General features: G+C 36.5%; 1 long non-coding RNA gene across 1 annotated transcript in view, besides 1 other annotated feature; it reads right to left on the bottom strand.

Annotated features, from left to right (window-relative positions):
- The window catches only part of LINC01982 (long intergenic non-protein coding RNA 1982), a 145,180-nt gene that overhangs the window by 79,743 nt on the left and 44,192 nt on the right, over positions 1-21,245 (bottom strand). The gene's annotated exons all lie outside the window — the stretch shown is intronic.
- Positions 3,944-4,793: an enhancer, noted in NCBI's record as "NANOG hESC enhancer chr17:50528526-50529375 (GRCh37/hg19 assembly coordinates)". NCBI's record gives its function as "activates a minimal SCP1, AML or CMV promoter by ChIP-STARR-seq in naive H9 embryonic stem cells {active_cell/tissue: H9 hESC(naive)}" and the evidence as "EXISTENCE:reporter gene assay evidence [ECO:0000049][PMID:30033119]".

Here is a 21,245-nt window from a genome sequence, read left to right as displayed (position 1 = left end):
TGTTGAATAGAAGTAGTGAGAGAGGGCATACTTGTCTTGTGCCAGTTTTTAAGGGGAATGCTTCCAGCTTTTGTCCATTCAGTATGGTGTTGGCTGTAAGTTTGTCATTGTTGGCTCTTACTATTTTGAGGTATGTTCTTTCAATACCTAGTTTATTGAGAGTTTTTAACATGTAGGGATGTTGAATTTTATCAAAAGCCTTTTCTGAATCTATTGAGGTAATCATTTTTTTTATCTTTAGTTCTGTTTATGTGATGAATCACATTTCAAAGCATGTATTCTAGTATTTTTTAATAGTTTCCAGTCTTATATTTAAGTCTTTAATCCATCATGAGTTAGTACTTATATATGGTGAGTGATAGGGACCCAGTTTTATTCTTCTGCATATGACTATCCAATTTCCCTAGCACTATTTATAGGGTGTCTGTTCCCCCAGTATATGTTTTTGTCTTTGTCAACTTTGTTGAAGGTCAGTTGACTTTAGGTATGTGGCTTTATTTCCAGGTTCTCTATACTATTCCATTCATTTGTGTGTGTATTTTTATGCCAATACTATGCTGTTTAGGTTACTATAGCCTTGTAAAATTTGAAGTCAAGTAATATAATTTAAAAAAAAATTAAAACAATGCACATATTATGTTCAAGTCTCACCCTTTAGTATACTGATTCAAAATTCTGTGAGGTAAATAGTTGTTTTAGTACAGTTGTGTTAAATAAGGCTAATCTAGTTACCTTGCCATATTTCTCCTTCAGAAAAAGATTTATAGCCATATTCTAGGAGATATTCTACTTTCAGAGCTGGCCCTAACATTTTGATCTTGGACTGGGGCTCCTAGCTGGGTCCTACTTTTAGATGAGCCTATTTAAAGTCCCCTAAGCTTTGGTTTCCCTCTCCTACTTCAGAGTTTACACAGAGAATTCGTAGAATACTTCAAGTGCTGCCACCTCCTAAATGATCACTTCATATTCCATAAGCTCCTCAACACCTTCCCACTGCAGAATAACTGTGGTTTCTGCTCCTACCAAGCCCCCACATAACTAAACCTCATCATCAAGAGCACCCATAGCTCTCTGGAGTTTGGGCCCATCCTGACTCTGTAGTTTTGGATACCAAAATTCCAAAACCACTATGAACAGCATGCACTTGGCTCTGCTTACAAAGAAGATTCAAATGCATGCCATTAATTCACACATTCAGTTTTCTGAATATCCATGACTTATTCCTCACTTCTTTCTGTTGATTTCCCAAGTTGCCATGCAGCCTGAACTGTCATGTCCACGAGTCGCTTTAGCCGAATACATGTTCCAGTATTACTGAACTCACATCTTTATCCTTGTCATTGCCATTTTAAGATAATGAGTAATTTGAACATGTTTATAGGATGAAGGGAAGAAGTTAGTGGAGGACAAGAGAATGAAGAATCAGAAAATATGGGAAATATTGATGAAACTGAGTTCCTCTTTGTGGGATGGAATTAAACCTGGAGCAAAAGTAGAATTGATATCACGCAGCGTTGGGAATAAAATGTGCTTAGGGAAAGACTTGAGCACTGAATTCTGAATCTCCCAATTATGTTCTTGGCTGTTCACTTAACACTAACTCTCTTCATTACACCTCAAGGAAAATTAATGGACAAGAAAAATAAAGGGACCTGGCTTCATTATCATTCCCTCTATTTTCTGATTTTGTATCCTCTCTTCCTCTACTAGTTCGTTCACGATAGTCTAAAATCATGTTCAAGTTATTTATTATCTAACTTGACAACTAGAATCACAGCAAGGGCAAAGATGTGACTTGGGTAAAACACAGGTAAGTGCTGTCATTTGATTACTATGAGGCTTTGATTCAAAAGCTCAGCACAGCAGCCTGTTTGGCTGGACTTGTCCTTATGTAATATTTTTTGCTTGGCTAAAGATGAGCCTGAAACCTTGAAGCCAAACAGATTGAACCCCCTTTGTTTCTGTCTCTATAAACTCATGCCTGAATTCTAAGCCGCTCTGTCATAAAATTCTGATGAAAGGAAAAAGTGGTCCAAGCAGAACCTGTAGCCAGGGAGAAGAGACAAGCAAAATAATATAAGAGAGTTTACAAATGCCTAGAGCAGAGATGATATAGGCTTTATGCCACACAACTTTGTAATAGAAGGGGCAGCTTCCAAAGCTTCTGGGCTCCAGGCTTTGTGGGGAAAATCCAGAGGGAACAAAGAAGAGCACAAGAGAAAGAGAAAAGGATGTCAGAATCTTTATCCAAGGATTTCTGCCAAAGAAGGAAAGAGACACAAGAGAAACAAAACCCTAAAGCTGAGTTTTCTTTAGAAAGCTCTTGGGCAAAAGAAGATACAGACTTATTTACATTCTTCCTAAGACTCCATCCTTTGAAAAAGTATAGTCCAATGAGGTTCTTGGAACTGACAATTTAAGGCATTTTTTTTCCTCCTCCGGAGTTGTTGTAAACTGCTACTTGTCTGACAAGTAGATGTTAACCTTTTCCTCAGACATAATAGGAAAAGAAATAAGTTTAGGTGAGACTGTTGGTAAAAGTTGAAGCCAACAGTATAGTTCTTAGAATGAGTTCGGAAACATGTCTTACTCTAGAGGACATATTACAAGCAAAGTACAAGTGTATCCAAATTACTTTTTTTGAGGTTTAAGGGATTTATTTTTTAAAATTACAAATAATTGCACTTGATGAAAACCAAAGCCATCAACTATAGAGACTATGCTTTAACTCTGACTTAGGTTCCTGCTATACAGAGAAGAACCTACCAGGAAATGGGGTGGCAGGTGCAAGTGAAAAAGCAGCCATCATTAAAGTCCAAGGTCTGGGGCAGGATGGGAATTGGGCTCAGAGCAGCCTCAGCCAGAGCTACCCCTGCAGCCACACTGAAGACCCTTGATGATCACTCCCTCATGCAGCTTCAAGCCCAGCAAATGAAGTGGGTTCCAGAGTTGGCACCTTGAATATATCATAGGCAGCACAGGTCCGCATAACCTTCTCTGTTCCATTTGGCAATCAGACTTTCATCTGCATAGCCTTCTTTTAATGTGGAATTTATATAGCTATTGGCCTGTGACTTTCTGTTTTCAAAAGAGGTTGTATATGTTGCAAGTTTTCTGAAGATGGGCCAGAGGTTTTCACATTACTCTTTCCTTTCTAAGGTTCAGTTTTAGCTTCTTTCATCTTCTAACTCATCCAGTGTCAGCTCAACAAACCCTTAGCCATCTAGAAGAACTTCCCAGCTTCCTTTGACTTTGAGGATTTTTTTTTTCACAAGATGATTTGCAAAGATGCTATGTCATTTGGAAGGTCACATTCTCTCTGTGGTCATTATTCTCCTCATTGGATGTCTATCACCTTCATCTACCATTTCATAATCAAAACATATATTTTTTAAATTAATTAAAGCACATTCAAGGTTAGCCTTATAATAATCTCCATGTCACCAATTAATAGCTTTCTGGAGTGGAAAAGCAAATAGTAAAGTTAGTGTGAAAATAGTAAAGTTAGTGTTCTGTTCATAAAAGAGGTTTCCTTCTTATAAAATCAGGAAAGCTGGGGCTTTTCCGAGTCTCAAGCCCAGCCCAAGGGAGTGGTTTCTGTAACACCATGATCATTATTTGTGTAGCTTGTTAAAAAAAGAATTGATCTAACACAACCGTCAGAAATTTATAAATGAGAAGCAGAGAAATAAGGTGATTTACCACATGTCAAGGAGTAAATTAAAGGTAGAAAGGGGATTAGATTCTCAGAAACTCCAGTTTAAGCCATTTCCACTATAAAGCTGTACTATGTAAAAAGTTAACCAAAACATGGGAAGGCTATAAAGTAGCAAAGTGAAGGGTAAGAGTTGGCTTGTCAAAGCTTGGTTAGAATGGAGAGTTAGAACTTCAAATTTCTCCAGGTCTCCTACCCAAACCCCATAATGATAACTTGTCCCTGTAAACTAACCTGTCCCTGTAAACTAAATTGTCTAATATATTTTGGACTCTTAGAATTAGAGAACACTTAATATATATTCTGAGTAATAAGAAAGAGCTTGTGATTTTTGCTTTGACCTGCCATTCATTTTAATTTGACTAAGCTACTCTTAACACATAATTCAGATAATGCTGAAATGTCAGTACATTTCCCTATTCAGAAAGCTCCTTAATGTGCTGTTCATTCATTCTCCACATTATCATAAGAAAAGCCTTTCAATTTACCAAAGGAACAACAACTAGTGGAAGCACCAGTCTTCCTGTAAGTGAGAAAATCATTAGCTTTTCCCACCAAGTAATTATTGCCAATATCTCTAGTGAGTAGCAAATTCCCCTTCACAAAGCTATTATTAGTGTCCTTCTGAGGTCAGAGGCATGAAGATTGAGGAGTAGGAATGACATATTTCAATGTAACCTTTAAAAGTCCCCTTTGAAAGATTTTGTGTAAAAGAAAAATCTCCAAAGACCTGAACTATTGCCAGTCAGTAAACAGTCACTAGTCATTCCCTTTGAAGTCTCCCCTTAGGGGCAATTTAATGAGTGAGAAGAAGAGCATTTGTCAGGATTTCCTACTTGATCTTTTGATCTCCTCATAAGCAGGTTCATAACAGATTTGTCTCCAAAACACAGGGTGAAGGAAAAGCCCTGTTACTGGTTATTGCTGTCATAAAATTAAGCAACATTAATAACTGCAGCTTATACTATATGTTTATGAAAAAAATTAGACAAAGTGTCTCATTTGTTATTGACAACAACCCTGAGAACAAAGGTGGTGCTATTACTACCATTTATAAATGAAGACTCAGGCAGATAGACTGGGACTGAAAATAGGTTACATACTGATTATGCATCAAATTCTGTTTGCAGCAATTTCTGGTACTGATGGGCACTCTCCAAACCTGGAACAATATTTCACTATGACAATTACAGCCTACAGCTGGAGGTTACTAATTTTTGCTCATTTATCTTACAAAATAATTTTGAAAGCTATGTAACCTATCATACAGTTTTATATTATGACCAAACATTTCTATCATAAGATCAAATAACTATAAATTACATAATTCCTAGCATATTGTAAATATTTACTTTTTTAAATAATAGTTTCTTTGTGTTTTTAATATAGCCAAAGAAATTTAAATCCTGATTCTCTGACACATGTCTTTATCTGTTTATATATCACATGAAATAGGTCTTCTGTAACATTTAGAAAATTGCATCATTTCATTTCCTTTTGAATACATATACTTCTTTCACTTTCTAAATGAATTTTGCCTTTCTGTAGTACATTTTTCTATACAAAATATTGTTATATTGTCATTTGATCATACATTTTATAATGAAAACATATAGCTGCACAATATATTTTTTGAATTTTCTATAATCATAGAAATCATGTTAAATCCATGCCCTTGGATTAAAACATGAACATTTATTAGTAAAAAATTGATTTCATAAAAATATTAACATTAATAAAGAATTTTTAATATAAATATTAAAATTTTATTTAAAATTCATTCCAATGAGGTGGAAGGGGGTTATGGTAGACAGCATAATAACCCATTCACAAATGTTCATGTTCTAATCCCCATAATCTGTAATTATGTTACTTTACATGGTAAAAGGACTTTTCAGATGCAATTAAATTAAAGATCTTGAGATGGAGTGATGATCCTGGATTATCTGGGAGGATCCAACATAATCACAAGAGTCCTTATAAGAGGAGACGAAAGGGTCAGAGGCAGAAAAAGAAGCTGTGATGACACAGCAGGTATTGGAATGATGCACTTTGAAGACTGAGATGAGCCAAGGAATGCAGGTGACCTCTGGGAGCTGGAAAAGGCAAGGAAAGGGATTCACCTCTGGGGCATTCAGAAGGAACACAGCCTTGCAGATACCTGGATTTTAGCCTTGTAAGACTCATATAGACCCCTAACCTGCAGAACTGTAAGATGTTGAGTTTCTGCTGTTTTAAGCAAAGAAGCTTGCAGTAATTTGTTACAGCAGCTATAAGAAACTAATACAAACAATTACATAAAAGTATGTCTTTTTCTTTGGATGATTATGATTTATTACTAGAATAAGAAAGGATTGAGCATTCATTTTATGCCTACTTTTCAATTTATATACATAAATTATATATATAATATATAACTCAATTTATATGAAGTACACACACACACACACACACACACACACACACACACACACATATGGAAAGTCAGCATAAAATGGATATACATATATGCCAGAAGAAGTCTATTCCTAAAGATAGAAATTGAGCAATGGTAGTCATTCCTTTGAACCTCTTCTGAGTTACACAACAAAAATTACAAACTGATATAAGATCAAAAGGTGTCTTTAATGATCTATCAGTTAACATTTTAATTGTGTCATACTGTGGTCAGGGCTGGGGGAGACAAGCAAGGAGGCACTCTTTTGGGGTCATGCAAGAGCAGGGTGGGCACTTGCATGGCTCTGAAACTGAATGCCTTCTTAAGATTTTCTCTCAAAGTGTCTCGTTTACCTCACCCTGGTCATGAAGTTGGGTCCTACTTGAATTTTATAAGAAACAAAGAACCACAACACAATACAACAACAATACACATCTGAGATGTGTATCAAAAAAATATACCGAGACTAATACATGTCTATTATGTTTTTTCTGGAAACTTTTAATTTAAAGACATCTGGCTTAATTTGATAGACTTAGATTATTGGGAAAAAATAAAATAATGTTAATTTTAATGCATTTTTAAAATATTACATTTTGGATTAAGAGCTTTTATGTTTTCTTGTGCTTGAAATATATTTTGGAAAATGTTGGAGCTGAACATTTGGTTCATGGGAAATGCCTGCATATAAATTAATTAGCAAAAGCAATTAGGCAAATAAGACATATTTTATGTGAGAAAGAATGTCATTATGTATCTACTTTTAACTTTTTTAATTACTTAATTTTTAATTCAGATAAACTTGTCAATATATATCCCCATGATGACTATTTTACTTCTTGATCCTAAATTAGTCTGGGACAGCAGGCATTGGGGGATCAAGTAGCTAAGATATTTAGTCAGTATAAGGGCAATGACAATTATAAGAATTTAGGAGGAAGACGTCTTATTTTTACAGCAGTATAGAACAGGAGAACGAAACTGGAGAATGTAGATTCTAGCAGTCAATTGCAATTTAAGGCATGCTTTCAAAGCTAGAGTCTCTATGTCAGATTTAAAGAAGACTCATATCCTGAAACTGCAGAAAATACCTAATTTATGGTGCTTATAGAACCGAGATCTAGGGGCAGCCAAGGAGGGTACTAATCACTATGTATAGGGAGAGGCAGAGGGAGAGGAAGAGGAAGCGGAAGCAAAAGACTTAGATCAGCTGTGACAATACAAAAAATGTAGGGTTTCTTGATTTTAGATTGAAGTCAGTTCATGAAGCCAGAACCCATTGATCAAAGTGGAGGATGGTTGCTTTTGAAAAGGACCATAAGTATATGCAATAAGTATTCCTTTTCTCAAATTCTTCAGTTTCCCAGGTGATTGTGCATTAGAGATGTTTTAAACTATGAGATACTGTGAGATATAACCTCCTAGGTTTACAGTGGGACTTAGAAAGGTCAGGTGATTAGGACTGAGACCAGGGTAAGGTGAATGAGATGCATAGGAAACAAATGTTAAGAAAGCACTCACTCTCATTGTTATGCAAGTGCAGGGTTTGTACTTGCACAGCCCTGAGAATAATTTTCTCCTCAGATTTTGTTCCCTAAGTGTTTTGCTTGCCTCACCTAATTCTTGACCCTGCATGTAGCATGGAATTTTGAACCCAATCTCTCATATTATGTCCAATTCATGTGAACCCACCTTGTAGTTATCTTCAGGTTTCTTACATGTAAAATTAGGATTGATATACGTAACACCTGGCAGGAACTTATGTCGCTTTTCTGATTTGTGGAGTAAGGGCCATCATAAAAGAGTCAAGTGGAAAGCCCTCAACATGCCCTATTTCTCCTGTGCCAAGAAAATAAAGGAAACAGAGCAATTCAGGAAAAACTGAAGATTAGGATCACTAAAATTTAACAAATACAAGAGACTTACTATACCCATATTCAATTCATCTCTCTAGTCTCTGCAAAAAAGCAGATGAGTTGTAGCAAATGATAGTGAAATACTATAAACATAACCAAGTGTTGGTTCCAATTTCAGATGCTGTTCAAAATGTGGCCTAGTCTTTACTGTAATAGATTAACACAATTTATGTTGCATAATTTATAGTGACTTTGTAAATGATGGTTTTTCTTGTTCACCATCATCAGGAAGACTCAAAAATTGTTCACCATTACACAATAAAGACAACAATACACTTCTACTGCCTTTTACTCTCTTGGCCCAAGGCAGTGTAATTTTCTTCTCTTTGTCATAAAGTAGTTCTATGGGAACCTTAATCATCTTGAAGTTCTTCACAGAATGAGAATTTAACCCAATCAGTAGAGAATGAATGTGGTAAAGTTTTCAAGCGTCATATATGGTCCAGAAGATACAGAGATATTCCCTCTGAGGTCAATGCAACTGTTACACTTCACATCTCTCACAGCATGTTATGAGCTTTTTGAAGGAGGACAGGGGATTTTGGAGACCGCATTCATCATACTTAGAAAACTGCTCCAATCCATGTATTGAATGAAGAATCCTTCAAGTTTCAAGTGTGGTCAAGAACAAAGGAAATATTTGCAGCATGTCTAGGATACAGTATAATCTGTCCAACCTCAAATCATAGAACGCATTAGATTCAATAGTGCTAGACCAGTTTCTCAACCTCAGTACTATTCACATTTTGAGCTTGATTATTTTTTGTTGTTGTGGAGAAAGAAGTATCCAGTGTATGGTAGGATGTTTAGCAGCTTCTCTGGTTTCTACCCACTGGATGCCAGTAGCAATCCCTATTCAAATTATGACAACCAAAAACATCTCCAGATAGCTACAACTTCCTCCTGGGAGATAAAATAGCCCCCAGTTGAGAAATACTGTGCTAGAGTGACACGTAAGGATCCTTATCTTGTCAAACCCCAATAGACGATAATAGAGTACAGATCTCTTGGTTTCTGGAGTAAAATTATGCCCTCCACATCACGAGATTACTTTTGGTTTGAAAAAATAACCTTGGCATGCTACTTGAATCTAACTGAGACTGAGTATTTGAATATGGAATGCCAAATGAATACATGGCCTGAGAAGCCATTATCTGATCCATTTTATCAGATAATATTTGTGGGCACAGCAAAAATACATTATGTAAGAGAAGTCATACATTCAGGATCAGGCTTGAGTATATACTGATGATATAATTAAATTACAGAAATAGGCAGTCTATGGCATCTACCTCTGATGCACTGGTACTTCTTGCTTAAAGCACACCAATTGCACCATAGAATGGGGATTCCCTATGGCCAGCTGATGCATGCTGACTTGGGCATCATTCAAAAATGTATTGAAGTAATGCTTATCAATTACTGGGAATTGACATCTTCTACAATACAGCCCCATTTAGTGAGGATTGTAGCATTGGGAAATCCTTCTTGTAGTCAGGGGTATGAGCAACACAGTTGACTACCCACTTCATTTGGAGGGAGCTTGGTCTGAGGTTAGAATGTGCAATGACTTTTGGGAAAAGGCAACTAGCCTACTAGTGTTCCAGGAGTAATAATACTGAAAAATGAAGGATGAGAAAGCCTTTAGAAGAAGTATGTGAGTGAGAATTTTGGAGTAGGCACACAGCATGCAAAATTTTGTGTTTCATATTAATCACCTAAACGAACTCAGGAATTTCTCAACAGCCAGTTGGACATGATGACATGTCCCATGGGTATCAGCCAGTCTTTCATCTTAACCACCTCAGGGCTCACATAATGGCCTCATGAGCCAACTTAACATGAGGATGAATGGTATGCACAGGACCAAGAGCGTCACCTCTTTTCCAACAATGTCACAGCTGCTGTTCAAGCCCCAACTGCCTACAGTACAGAATGACACTGTGCACTCAATATGGCAACACCCCTTGAAAACAATAGCCGGTTGCTTTTTTTAGTCTGTTCTCACATTGCTATAAAGAACTACCTGAGACTGGGTAATTTATAAAGAAAAGTTTAATTGACTCACAGTTCTGCAGGCTGTAAAGGAAGCACAGCTGCTTCTGTTTCTGAGGAGAACCTCGGGAAGCTTCCAATCATGGCAGAAGGCAAAGGGGGAGCGAGCATCTCCCATGGCAGGAGCAAGAGAGTGAGAGAGGGGATGCTATACACTTTTAAACAACCAGATCTCACAAGAACTTACTCACTATTGAAGCGGCGTCACTGTCTGGGGTAATACGCGAGGTTCATTGTCTCACAGCCATGGAAAACTAGGACACAGACACACCAGAGGGAGGTTAAGAGCAGAAGTTTAATAGGAGAAAGAAAGAAAGAGCTCTCTGAGCAGAGAAGGGTCCTGGAGAAAACGGGTCACTGCTTCCACAGTGAAATGCAGAAGGTTTTGTAGATGAGCTTGAGGGGGTGATATCAGATTTACCTAGGGCACAAAAGATTGGTCTAACCAGGTGTGCCATTTGCATAGCATCCAAAGAATTTGGCCACCGCACCCTAACATTTGATTATGCAGATGGGTTCTCTACCTGGCCAGTGCCATGTTGCCTGTTTCTTTACTGTACACATGGTGACAAAGAAAAGGGAAGATGGAGCCTCCATGCTGAACATACCTGGATTCCAGGTAGCCCTTCTCAGATTACAGACTAACTTCATTGTATACTCCCTGAGCAAATGCCATGACCCTTTAAAAAGTATGCCTCTAATGTTCTTTAAAATACCTCTGCTTTTATTAATATATTGTAATACTTTTACACATTGAATATGCCTTATGATTCAATGTATCTTAAAAAATACATTGATATTTTCACACACCAACTTTTCTTATGAAGTCTGCCTAATCCTGATAACAAAAGATAAGGACGTTAAATGAAAAGTATAGACTTCTTCTCTAATGAAATTATGTGCCAAACTTCTGAAAGAAGGAAGAGAAAAGGAAAGAAGACAGAAGGGAGGAAGAAGAGAAAAATCAAATACAGTGATATCATAACATAGGAGAAGTAATATACTATGACTAAGTTAACTTTATTGCTTTTTAAGATTCAAAATCAAGCAACTCACCATATGAACAACTAAGGAAGAAAAACATATAATAATCTCAATAGACACAGAAAAAGTCATTTAATAAAACCAACAATCATTCATGATGCACTCTCTAAAACTGAGAATAGAAGCATGTTATTAACAAAATATAAAAAAAACAAACTTCATTCTGAATGGTGAAATAAAGATCACTTTCCTTCTGAAATTGTGAGGAGATAAAATGCTTGTTTACATTCACTTCTAGTAAATATTATTTAAAAGGACCTGATGAAATAAAACTGTCCTATTCACAGATGATATTATTATATACATAGAAAATTCAAAAGAATGTACAGAGTAAAACTATTACAAATAAAAGTACATTTGATGAGGTGTTTGGACAAAAGGGCAATATTTTTAAAAATCAACTGTATTTTTAAATACTAACAACAAATATAGAACATGAGTATTTTAAAGATACATATTATTATATGTATAATAGTATCAAAAATCTAGGAATAAATCTGTGAATTATGTGCAAGACTTATGTAGAACACTAAAAACATGCATGATTAAGAGAAATTAAAGAAGACCTAACTTAATTGTGATTTGCCATGCTCTTCAATTATAACTCTTGTAAAGATTTTAATTTTTACTTCATAGATTTATATATTTAATGCAATCCCAAACTCAGTTTTTATGGTGGAAATAAATAAGTGGATAATAAGATATATGCAAACATAGAAAGGACTAAAACTGGAGGACTTACTCTATTGGATATTGAATTTTCATAATGCTACAGTATTTCAGATAGTACAAAGGCAAACAGACAAATGTAGCGTATTAGTCCATTTTCACACTTCTGATAAAGACATACCTGAGACTGGGCAGTTTACCAAAAAAAGAGGTTTAATTAGACTTACAGTTCCATGTGGCTGTGAAAGCCTCACAATCATAGCAGAAGGCAAGAAGGGGCAAGTCATGTCTTACATGGATGGCAGCAGGCAAAAAAAGAGAGCTTGTGCAGGGAGACTTCCATTTTTGAAACCATCAGATCTCGTGAGACTTATCCACTAGCATGAGAACAGGATGGGAAAGACCTGACCTCATGATTCAATTACTTCCCACCAGGTTCCTCCCACGACACACAGGAATTGTGGGAGTTACAATACAAGTTGAGTTTTGGGTGGGGACACGCCAAAACATATCATGTAGCAAAAGAGAGAGTCCAGAAATAGGCCTATAAAAGTGTACCAATATATGACAAAAATAACAGTGCAGCACTGTGGCAATATGATAGTCTCTTCAATACAAAGATGGGTCAATTGTATGTGCATCAAATAAATATTTACCCTTACTCCTCCAGATCGACTGGAGAGAAAAATGAGACAGTTAAAATAATACAGCTTCTAAATAAAATATGCTAGAGCATCTTCATTTCCTAGAATATGAAAATAAAGCTTATTTGTAGTGTTTTAAAATTAAGAATTAAATAGTCTAACAATACTACATGTCAGCAAGGATGTGGTTTAACTGAAACTGGAGTAGTTATGTCAATATTTAGAATGACTCTGAAAAATTGGATATGTCAGAATGCACTAAAAGCTCAACAAAAATCTAGGACTATATTCAACAGAAATGTATGAATTAACCAAAATACATGCATAAAAATGTATATCTCAGCACCATTATTAAAAGCCAAATAATTGAAAGAAAGACAAATATATGTCATCCACAAAGCAATTAATTATATTTATACAATAGGATTTATACAAAATGAGAATGAAATTTGCAACAAAAAACAACATAGTTGAAACTCATAAATGTAACATTAAGTTAAATAAACTATATTCTATTTATATAAATGTTAAAAACGGGCAAAAGTAGTATATTGTGTTTGAAGTCACCACTGAACTTGGCCCTCTTCCAGGTTGCCCTAAAGCTTTTCAGGGATTTTAAAATGAACTTTCAATCAATTCTCCTACTACATTATTCTCCAGATTTTCTAAGATTGATAAATTTACTCACCTTTCTTTTCTAACCTGAAAACTAAAATTTAACTAGAATCCATGTGGTCTGGTAAAACATTTTGTGGTATTCTGGTCAGAAGTTCTCGGTTTAATCCTGACCTCACCACTTATTAGCTGAATAATTCTTGTCAATATCTTTGAAATCAAAAAGCCCCAGATCACTCACTTATATGACAGAAACATTAGTCTCTGCCTTCTTGTCATTCCACAAATGTTTCACAATCAGTTTTGGGGCCAGAATGGACTTTAGAATCCTCTGGCTCAATAGCTTCATTCTACAAACTGGGAACAAGGGGTACAAAGATCTGAGTTCGCTTACCCAAATTCACATTACTACAATAGCATATTAAAAATTAGAAGGTAATGGGTGTCACTGGGCTCACCTCCAAGCCACAGTTTGAATATAGTTCTGCTTTACTTGTCTTGCATGCCTTTGAGTCAGCCATCTACACAGGGCCTCTTTGCATTATGGTGATGCTGAACTGTAAGATCAAGCCCAACCGTTTTCATAGCCCAAAGATATCTAGGTATAGGCCTGAGATAGTCACCCGACCATAGTGCCTTAATCTGAACAGGACAATGATACCTGTGAATATCAGTGAAATGAGAATACATATAATTGGATTTCATTTCCTACTCAAGCCTATTTCTATAAGCTTCAAATGTGGCATTGGAGTATAGGATGCCCTCATGAAATGCAATCAACACTCATTTCCTTTTCCTTGTTGAAAGCTGAACCAAGGCTTGAAATGGGGAACCAGGTAGTTGTGTTTCATTTATATAAATGTAGTGTGAAAGCCGGGTAATATTGGAAGTTCTATAGCCGAGGAAATTGACCAGCCAAAAGAGCCAAACACAAATTTATGTCATCAATTCAAGGATTCAGGTCAGGGATCACAAATAGATTTTGATTCATATACCTACTCTAACTTACTTGAAATGGCTTCTTGGATTTCTGGGTTGAGAAGAATTCTGAGGCTATGTTCAGGCTAAGTGAAAAATGGAGCCATCATCAGTTACAGATAGCAGTTGTGTAGAAGGGTGATGTGGCCTAGACAGAGGGCAGACCAAAATGGAAATACTACATTTTAGAAAACCTGAATAAGAGACTGAAGCGAATCAGATCAGCATAGGTGAAACAGAAAATATCATCCAACATTGAACGATGTGGAGCACTGACACATATTATAGCTCTACATGAAGATCCAGTAGTACTGAGGAGTCTTGGTTTAAAAGAGTGTGATTTTTGTAGCAGAGCCATGCTGTTCTGGTTACTATACTCTTGTAGTGTAGTTTAAAGTCAGGTAACATATGTCTCCAGTATTGTTCTTTTTGCTTGGGATTGCCTTGGCTATCTGGGCTTTTTTTTAGTTCCATATGAATTTTATTTTTTTCTAATTCTGTGAAGACTGTCATTGTTTGATAGTCGTAGAATTGAATTTGTAGGTTGCTTTGGGCAGTATGGCCATTTTAACAATATTGATTCTTCCTATCCATGAGCATAGAATTCCTTTCATTTGTGTTATCTCAGATTTCTTTGAGCAGTGTTTTTTAATTCTAGTTGTAGAGATCTTTCCCATCCCAGATTAGCTATATTCTTAGCTATCTTTTTTCTTTTTGTGACTATTGTAAATGCAATTACATTCTTGATTTGGCCCTCAGCTTGGATGTCATTGGTGTATAGAAATGCTACTGATTTTCATACATTGATTTTGTATCCTGAAATTTTGCTGAAGATGTTTATCAGATCTAAGAGCCTTGGGGCAGAGACTACAGGGTTTTCTAGGTATAGAATCATGTTTTCTATAAACAAAGAGAGTTTGACTTCCTTTCTTCCTATTTAGACACCTTTTATTTCTTTCTCTTGCCTGATTGCTCTGACTAGGACTTCCAGTACTATGTTGAATAGGAGTGGTGACAGGGGGCATCCTTGTCCTGTTCCAGTTTTCAAAAATAATACTTCCAGCTTTTGCCCATTCAGTATGATGTTGTCTATGGGTTTGTCATAGATGTCTCTTATTTTGAAGAATGTTCTTTCAGTGCCTAGTTTGTTGAGGGTTTTTAGCATGAAGGAATGTTGAATTTTATCGAAAGCCTTTTCTGCATCTATCAAGATGATCGTGTAGGTTTTCTTTTTAGTTCTGTTTATGTGATGAATCACATTTATTGATTTGCATATGTTGAACCAAACTTGCATCCTAGGGATAAAGCCTACTTGATTGTGGTGAATTGTCTTTTTTATGTGCTGCTGGATTTTGTTTGCTAGTATTTGTTGAGGATTTTTGCACTGATGCTCATCAACAATTGGCCTGAAGATTTTTGTTGTTGTTGTTGTTTTGTTTCTATCAGGTTTTGGTATCAGGATGATGCTGGCCTCATTGAATGAGTTAGGAATGAATCTCTCCTTCTTAGCTTTTTTGGAATAGTTTCAGAAGGAATAATACCAGTTCTTATTTATATATCTGGTAGAATTCAGCTGTGAATCTATCTGGTCCTGGGATTTTTCTGTTTGGTAGGCATTGTATTGCATTGTATTGTATATTTTAGTTCTGAAGTACATGTGCAAGGTGTGCAGGTAGGCTTTTTATTACTGATTCAATTTTACAGCTCTTAATGGTCTGCTCAGGGATTCAATTTATTCCTGTTTCAATAATGTCACACACTTACAACCATCTGATCTTCAATAAAGTTGGAAAAAACAAGCAATGGTGAATGGAATTGTTATTCAATAAATGGTGCTGGAATGACTGACTAACCATGTGCAGAAGATGGAGACTGGACCCCTTCCTTATACCATATACAAAAATCAACTTCAGATGGATTAAAGACTTAAATATAAAGGCTAAAAATATAAAGACTCTGGAAGATAACCTAGGAAATACCATTCTGAAGGTAGGACCTGGAAAAGATTTTATGACAAAGACACCAAAAGCAATTACAACACAAAAATTGACAAATAAGACCTAGTTAAACTAAATAGCTTCTGCACAGCAAAACAAACTGACAACAGAATAAACAGACAACCTACAGAATGGGAGAAAATATTTGCAAACTATGCATCTGAAAAAGGTCTAATATGCAGAATTTATAAGGAGTGTAATCAAATTAACACCAAAAAAAAAAAAACCCAAACCATTAAAAAGTGGGCAAAGGACATTAACAGACACTTTTTAAAAGAAGACATACATGTGGCAACAAGCATGTGAAAGAATGTTCAACATCAGTAATCATTAGAGACATGAAATTCAAACCCACATTGAAATACCATTTCACCAGTCAGAATGGGCATTATTAAAAAGTCAAAAAATAACAGATGCTGCCATGATTACAGACAAAAGAGAATGCTTATACGCTTCTGGTGGGAATGTAAATTAGTTCATCTGTTGTGGAAAGCACTGGGGTGATTTCTCAAAGAATCCAAAGCAGAATTACCATTCAACCAAACAATCCCATTATCAGGTATGCACTCAAAATAATATAAATCCTTCTACCATAAGGATGCATGCACGTGTGTGTCCATGGCCATACTATTCCCAGTAGCAAAGACATGGAATCAATCTACATGCCCATCAACAGTAGACTGGATAAAGAAAATGTGGTATGTATATACTATGGAATATTACACAGCCATAAAAAAGAATGAAAGCATGTCCTTTGTAACAATATGCACGGAGCTAGAGGCCATTATTCTAAGCAAACTAACGCAGGAACAGAAAACCAAATACTGCATGTTCTCACTTATGAGAGGCAGCAAATCATTGAGTACACATGAACACAAAGAAGGAACAACAGATACCAGGACCTACCTGAGCATGGAAGGTAGGAGGAGGGAGAAGACAGGAAAACTAACTATTATGTACTATGCTTATTACCTGGGCACACCAAACCCCTGTGACACACAGTTTACTTATATACCAATCTGCACATTTACCCCTGAACCTATAATAAAAGCTAGAAAAAATTGAAAAGAGAAGAAATTTGAGGACTGAGCCTGAGAACACTTCAACATTTAAGGGTCAGTAAGATAAAGAAGGTTCAGCCCACAAAGATGTGTAGTAGTTACCAGTGAGATAGGTGGAAAACAAGGAGGGTGGTTTCCCTGAAGCCAAGTGAAGAAAGAATTTCAAGGAGGATGGAGTAATCAACTATGCCAACTGCTTCCAAGAAGCTGAATAATATGAGGGCAAAGAAGGAAACATTTGATGTGGCAACATGGAAATCACTGAGGACACTGGCAAAAGCAGCATCAGTGGATCTGTGGGAACAACAACTTGACATAAGGGGTTCAAGAAAGAATGGCAGGTGAGGAAGTGAAGAAAGTTGGTATAGATAACTCTGAAATTTTGCTGAAAGAGATATGGGTCAGTGGGTTAAAAGGAATGTATTTTGTTTAGATGTAAAACAATGCAGCATGTTTTCAAAGGAATGATATCAAAGAAGGGTAAATAGATGATGCAAGAGAGGGGACAATTACAGATTCAAGTCATTAAATAGATAACCTCATAGAGCGGTGATCTTTAGGCAGGAACCAGGACAACACACCTGCTGTGACCCAAGAGAAGGCACAATGTATGGGCACCAATGCAGGTATGATGGCACATTTGGTGATAGAAGGGAAAATGATTCCCCTCTGATCACTTTGGCCAACATCCAGCTGATCCACTGATATGCAAGCAAGCCCAGCTAAAATGAGAACTGCACAGCCTAAATCATCAACCTACAGATGATTAAGATAAATACATATTTATTGTGTTAAGACACTAAATTTTGGATAATGTGTAACATGGCATTCTGGTGGACACAGATAACAGAGGCAAGGAATGTTTCATGTCTATGGGTTCATATAAAGCTGCCTCATTTTTTAATAAATGACTACAAATAGCATTGAAAAAAAAGAGAAGAATGTGAAACTCCAGCATCCTTTGGCATGTCCAAATAGCCCTGTTTCTGAGACAAAGAAAGTCTAATAAATGAGTCTGACTCCGTGCTAGGTTCTGGGAATACAAAATTGAATAACATACTCCATCCCCTTGAGGAGTTGAAGGATCAGTGGGATAGAGATGTGAATAATGATACTCAACCCTCACAGGCACCAGAATCAAATAGGAAAGTTTTTATAAATATAGATGTCAGATACAACTGGCCTAGGATGGAATCTAGGGACAGTGTTTCTTAAAACCATCTCCAGGGTACTATAATAATTGAGGATGAAGAAGAAGAATGGAAGCCTTGGAAACTTTGGATAAAGCAGAGGAGAGGCAGCCAAGGCAAACAGGACAGTATGTGTGAGATTATGGAAGTATAAGATAGCTTAATACTTTCAAGAACATACTATAAGTTTTGTTTTGTGTAGCTAGGACAGAGTATGTCTGGAGGAGCAAGGGGGTTGATACCAGGGAGGTGGGGAAGAACCAGATAATGAATAGTGTCCTGTGACAGCAAAGATCTTTGAACTTTTGCCATTCACCTAAGAGAAAAGCTCTGAGATTTACAAAGCACTCTACAAAAAGGAAATGCTCTGTTTTTACTATTAACAGCTAGCAGTAGTCTTCTGAGAGGTACATGTTTGTATCTCTCTTTCTCTCTCTCTCTTTGAAATCTCAAACAACACAAAAAAAGAGATCTGCCTTAAGGAATTGAAGGATAAACCACTTGAAGCATACAAAGGAAACTAAACCACAGAGGGACATCTCAAACGCTCTTTTTAAATTTAATTTTACCCATTCTTCCTCTCCACAAGGCACTGTTTGCTATATCTGACTATGTGAAAGGTGACATGGTATAAGAAAGAACAGTCATCACCAGATGTCAAATGACTTTGGCTTTAGTTTGGCCCAGTCACAAAGAAGCTGTATGTCTCAGCTTCCTCATTCAAAGAAGGAATTAGTGATATCTACCTAGCCTTTCTAACGTGGCTTTGAGTGATTTAAATTACACTAACATTTACTGAGCTCATTAGACCTTCTCACGTGAGATAATAAGATAATCTATGGTAAAGTACATTATAAACTTTAAAGTGTTATACAAATGTTAAGAGATAGTCATCACTAAGAAATAAAGCGATTTACACAAACTGCTCACAATTTAGGTCAAATTACAGCACAGACAAATAATGACGAAGCATACCATTAGCTATGTGTCAGATGATTTGTTGTTGCAAGTTTTATTTCGTTACAAAACTAAACTGCTTATGTCTGTAAAGCATTTTTTGTCTGTTTTGCCCAGATAGCATGGTTGTCTTCTCACAGCTTTAAAAATTAGGAATGTTATTTCTCTTAATCCATCTCAGTGAGTGAACAACTTGGTTTTAGCAAATAATGCAGTGAGTCAGTAGTGAAGATGGGCTGTGAAAGGGAGTCTCTGAATTTTGAGACTATTACTTAGCACAGTAGGTTCATGTGCCTCCAGGGATCATTGAAACTCCCTAAACTGGGGAGGTAAAGAGACCAACTATACATTTGATGTCTTACTATTACTATTAACGCACTTGGGTAATGGGTAATTTTGAGATATGTCTCTCAACCTCTCTTTCTCCTTAAGCTGTCAGTCACTTTTTTTTTTTTTTGATTGGGAGATTGTTTCTGGAAAATGTAGGATACTGAATTGTTCATTCTTTCAGGGAATAATGCCTCATTTTGCTTCTGAGAAGTATGTGTTTTTGGAATTCTATCTGTGAGCAGGAGGGAGAATAAACTACTTTTGTTATTGTTTTATTTATCATTTGGGGAAAATCAGCATGTCCTTTAGATAGTAGAGGTCAAATGACATATTGATACATGATTAATATGAAAATACCAAAAAGATCTAAATAAAACACCATTTCTGCTACATAAGGGCAAATGGTTTCTAACAAACCCATAGTCTATAGTTTCCTAGTTATAATCTTTGACTCTGTACTCAGTCAAGCTAGATTTGAACCTTGGATTTACGACTTCTCAGGTGTGACATCTAATTCTCCTCCAAACCTTTTTGTTTTTCATCTAGAAAATGAAAATATTAATAGTGCCCACTACCCAGAGTTGTTTAGAGAATTAAATGATATCATACATTGGAAGTGCGTGGCACATAATAAGTTCTCAAGACGGTGTGCTCCTATTATTATCATTGCAGAACTTTCACACTCTAAGCCCCCAAAAGTATTTTAGAGACATAAAGGAGAGTTAGGATTTTTGTCCAGACAATGGCAACCCCTCTTCAAAGTAAAAGTGGAATAGAGCAGAAGAAGTATGAAACTTGGAAGTCTAGAGACTTTCGTCTTAGTCTCACTTCTATCATTAGCTGGTTGTATGATTTTACGCCTACTGACTCAATTCCTAATCTTCCCACCTTTTCCCCCACGTTTTCTTACACATTTTCTTACACTAAAGAAAGCAACAAAGCCACAATGAGTGAATAGCTATAGATAGTATCTAGACCCTCCTTCCAGTTAAAGTGATTAATGAAATACACCTGTGGGTGAAACCTATCCAGGTCCACAGTCAATCCTAATCCCAGGAGTGCTGTTTCAGTAATCCCTGTCTCACCAGCATGGAGTTAGTTGTGTCTGATGAAATTCTCATGATCTTCTACTGACACGTGTTATTTTCTGTTGGAAGAGTCACAACTCTGACATAGGTCATGATATTCTCTGTACATCTTAACAATTTCCACATAGACCTCAGGACCAACTAGAATCTAGTTAGCAGTGGATTTATTAATGGCCTTAAATCACAGTGATAATATGTTATTTATGCTTATGACTGTTTTGGGTGGGAATTCTTGCTTTGCCCTCTTGGCTAGTATTATGGCCTAAATGTTTATGTCCATATTAAATACATATGTTGTAGCCCTACCCTCCAGTGTGGCTGTATTTGGACATGAAACTGCTAAATAAGTAGTGAAGGTAAATTGAGGTCATAAGGATGGGACCCTGGTTCCACAGGATTAATATCCTTATAAGAAAAGAAACCAGAGGCCTAGCCCTCTCTCTCCCTTGCTTTCTCGCTTTCTCGCTTTCTCTCTCTCTCTCTCTCTCTCTCTCTCTCTCTCCCTTCCTCCCTCTCTCTCTTTTCATGCACGCAACTTGATCTTGGGCT

The sequence above is a fragment of the Homo sapiens genome, chromosome 17 (assembly GCF_000001405.40).
Source record: "Homo sapiens chromosome 17, GRCh38.p14 Primary Assembly".
NCBI lineage: Eukaryota > Metazoa > Chordata > Mammalia > Primates > Hominidae > Homo > Homo sapiens.
This window is presented reverse-complemented; position numbering and strand designations above follow the sequence as displayed.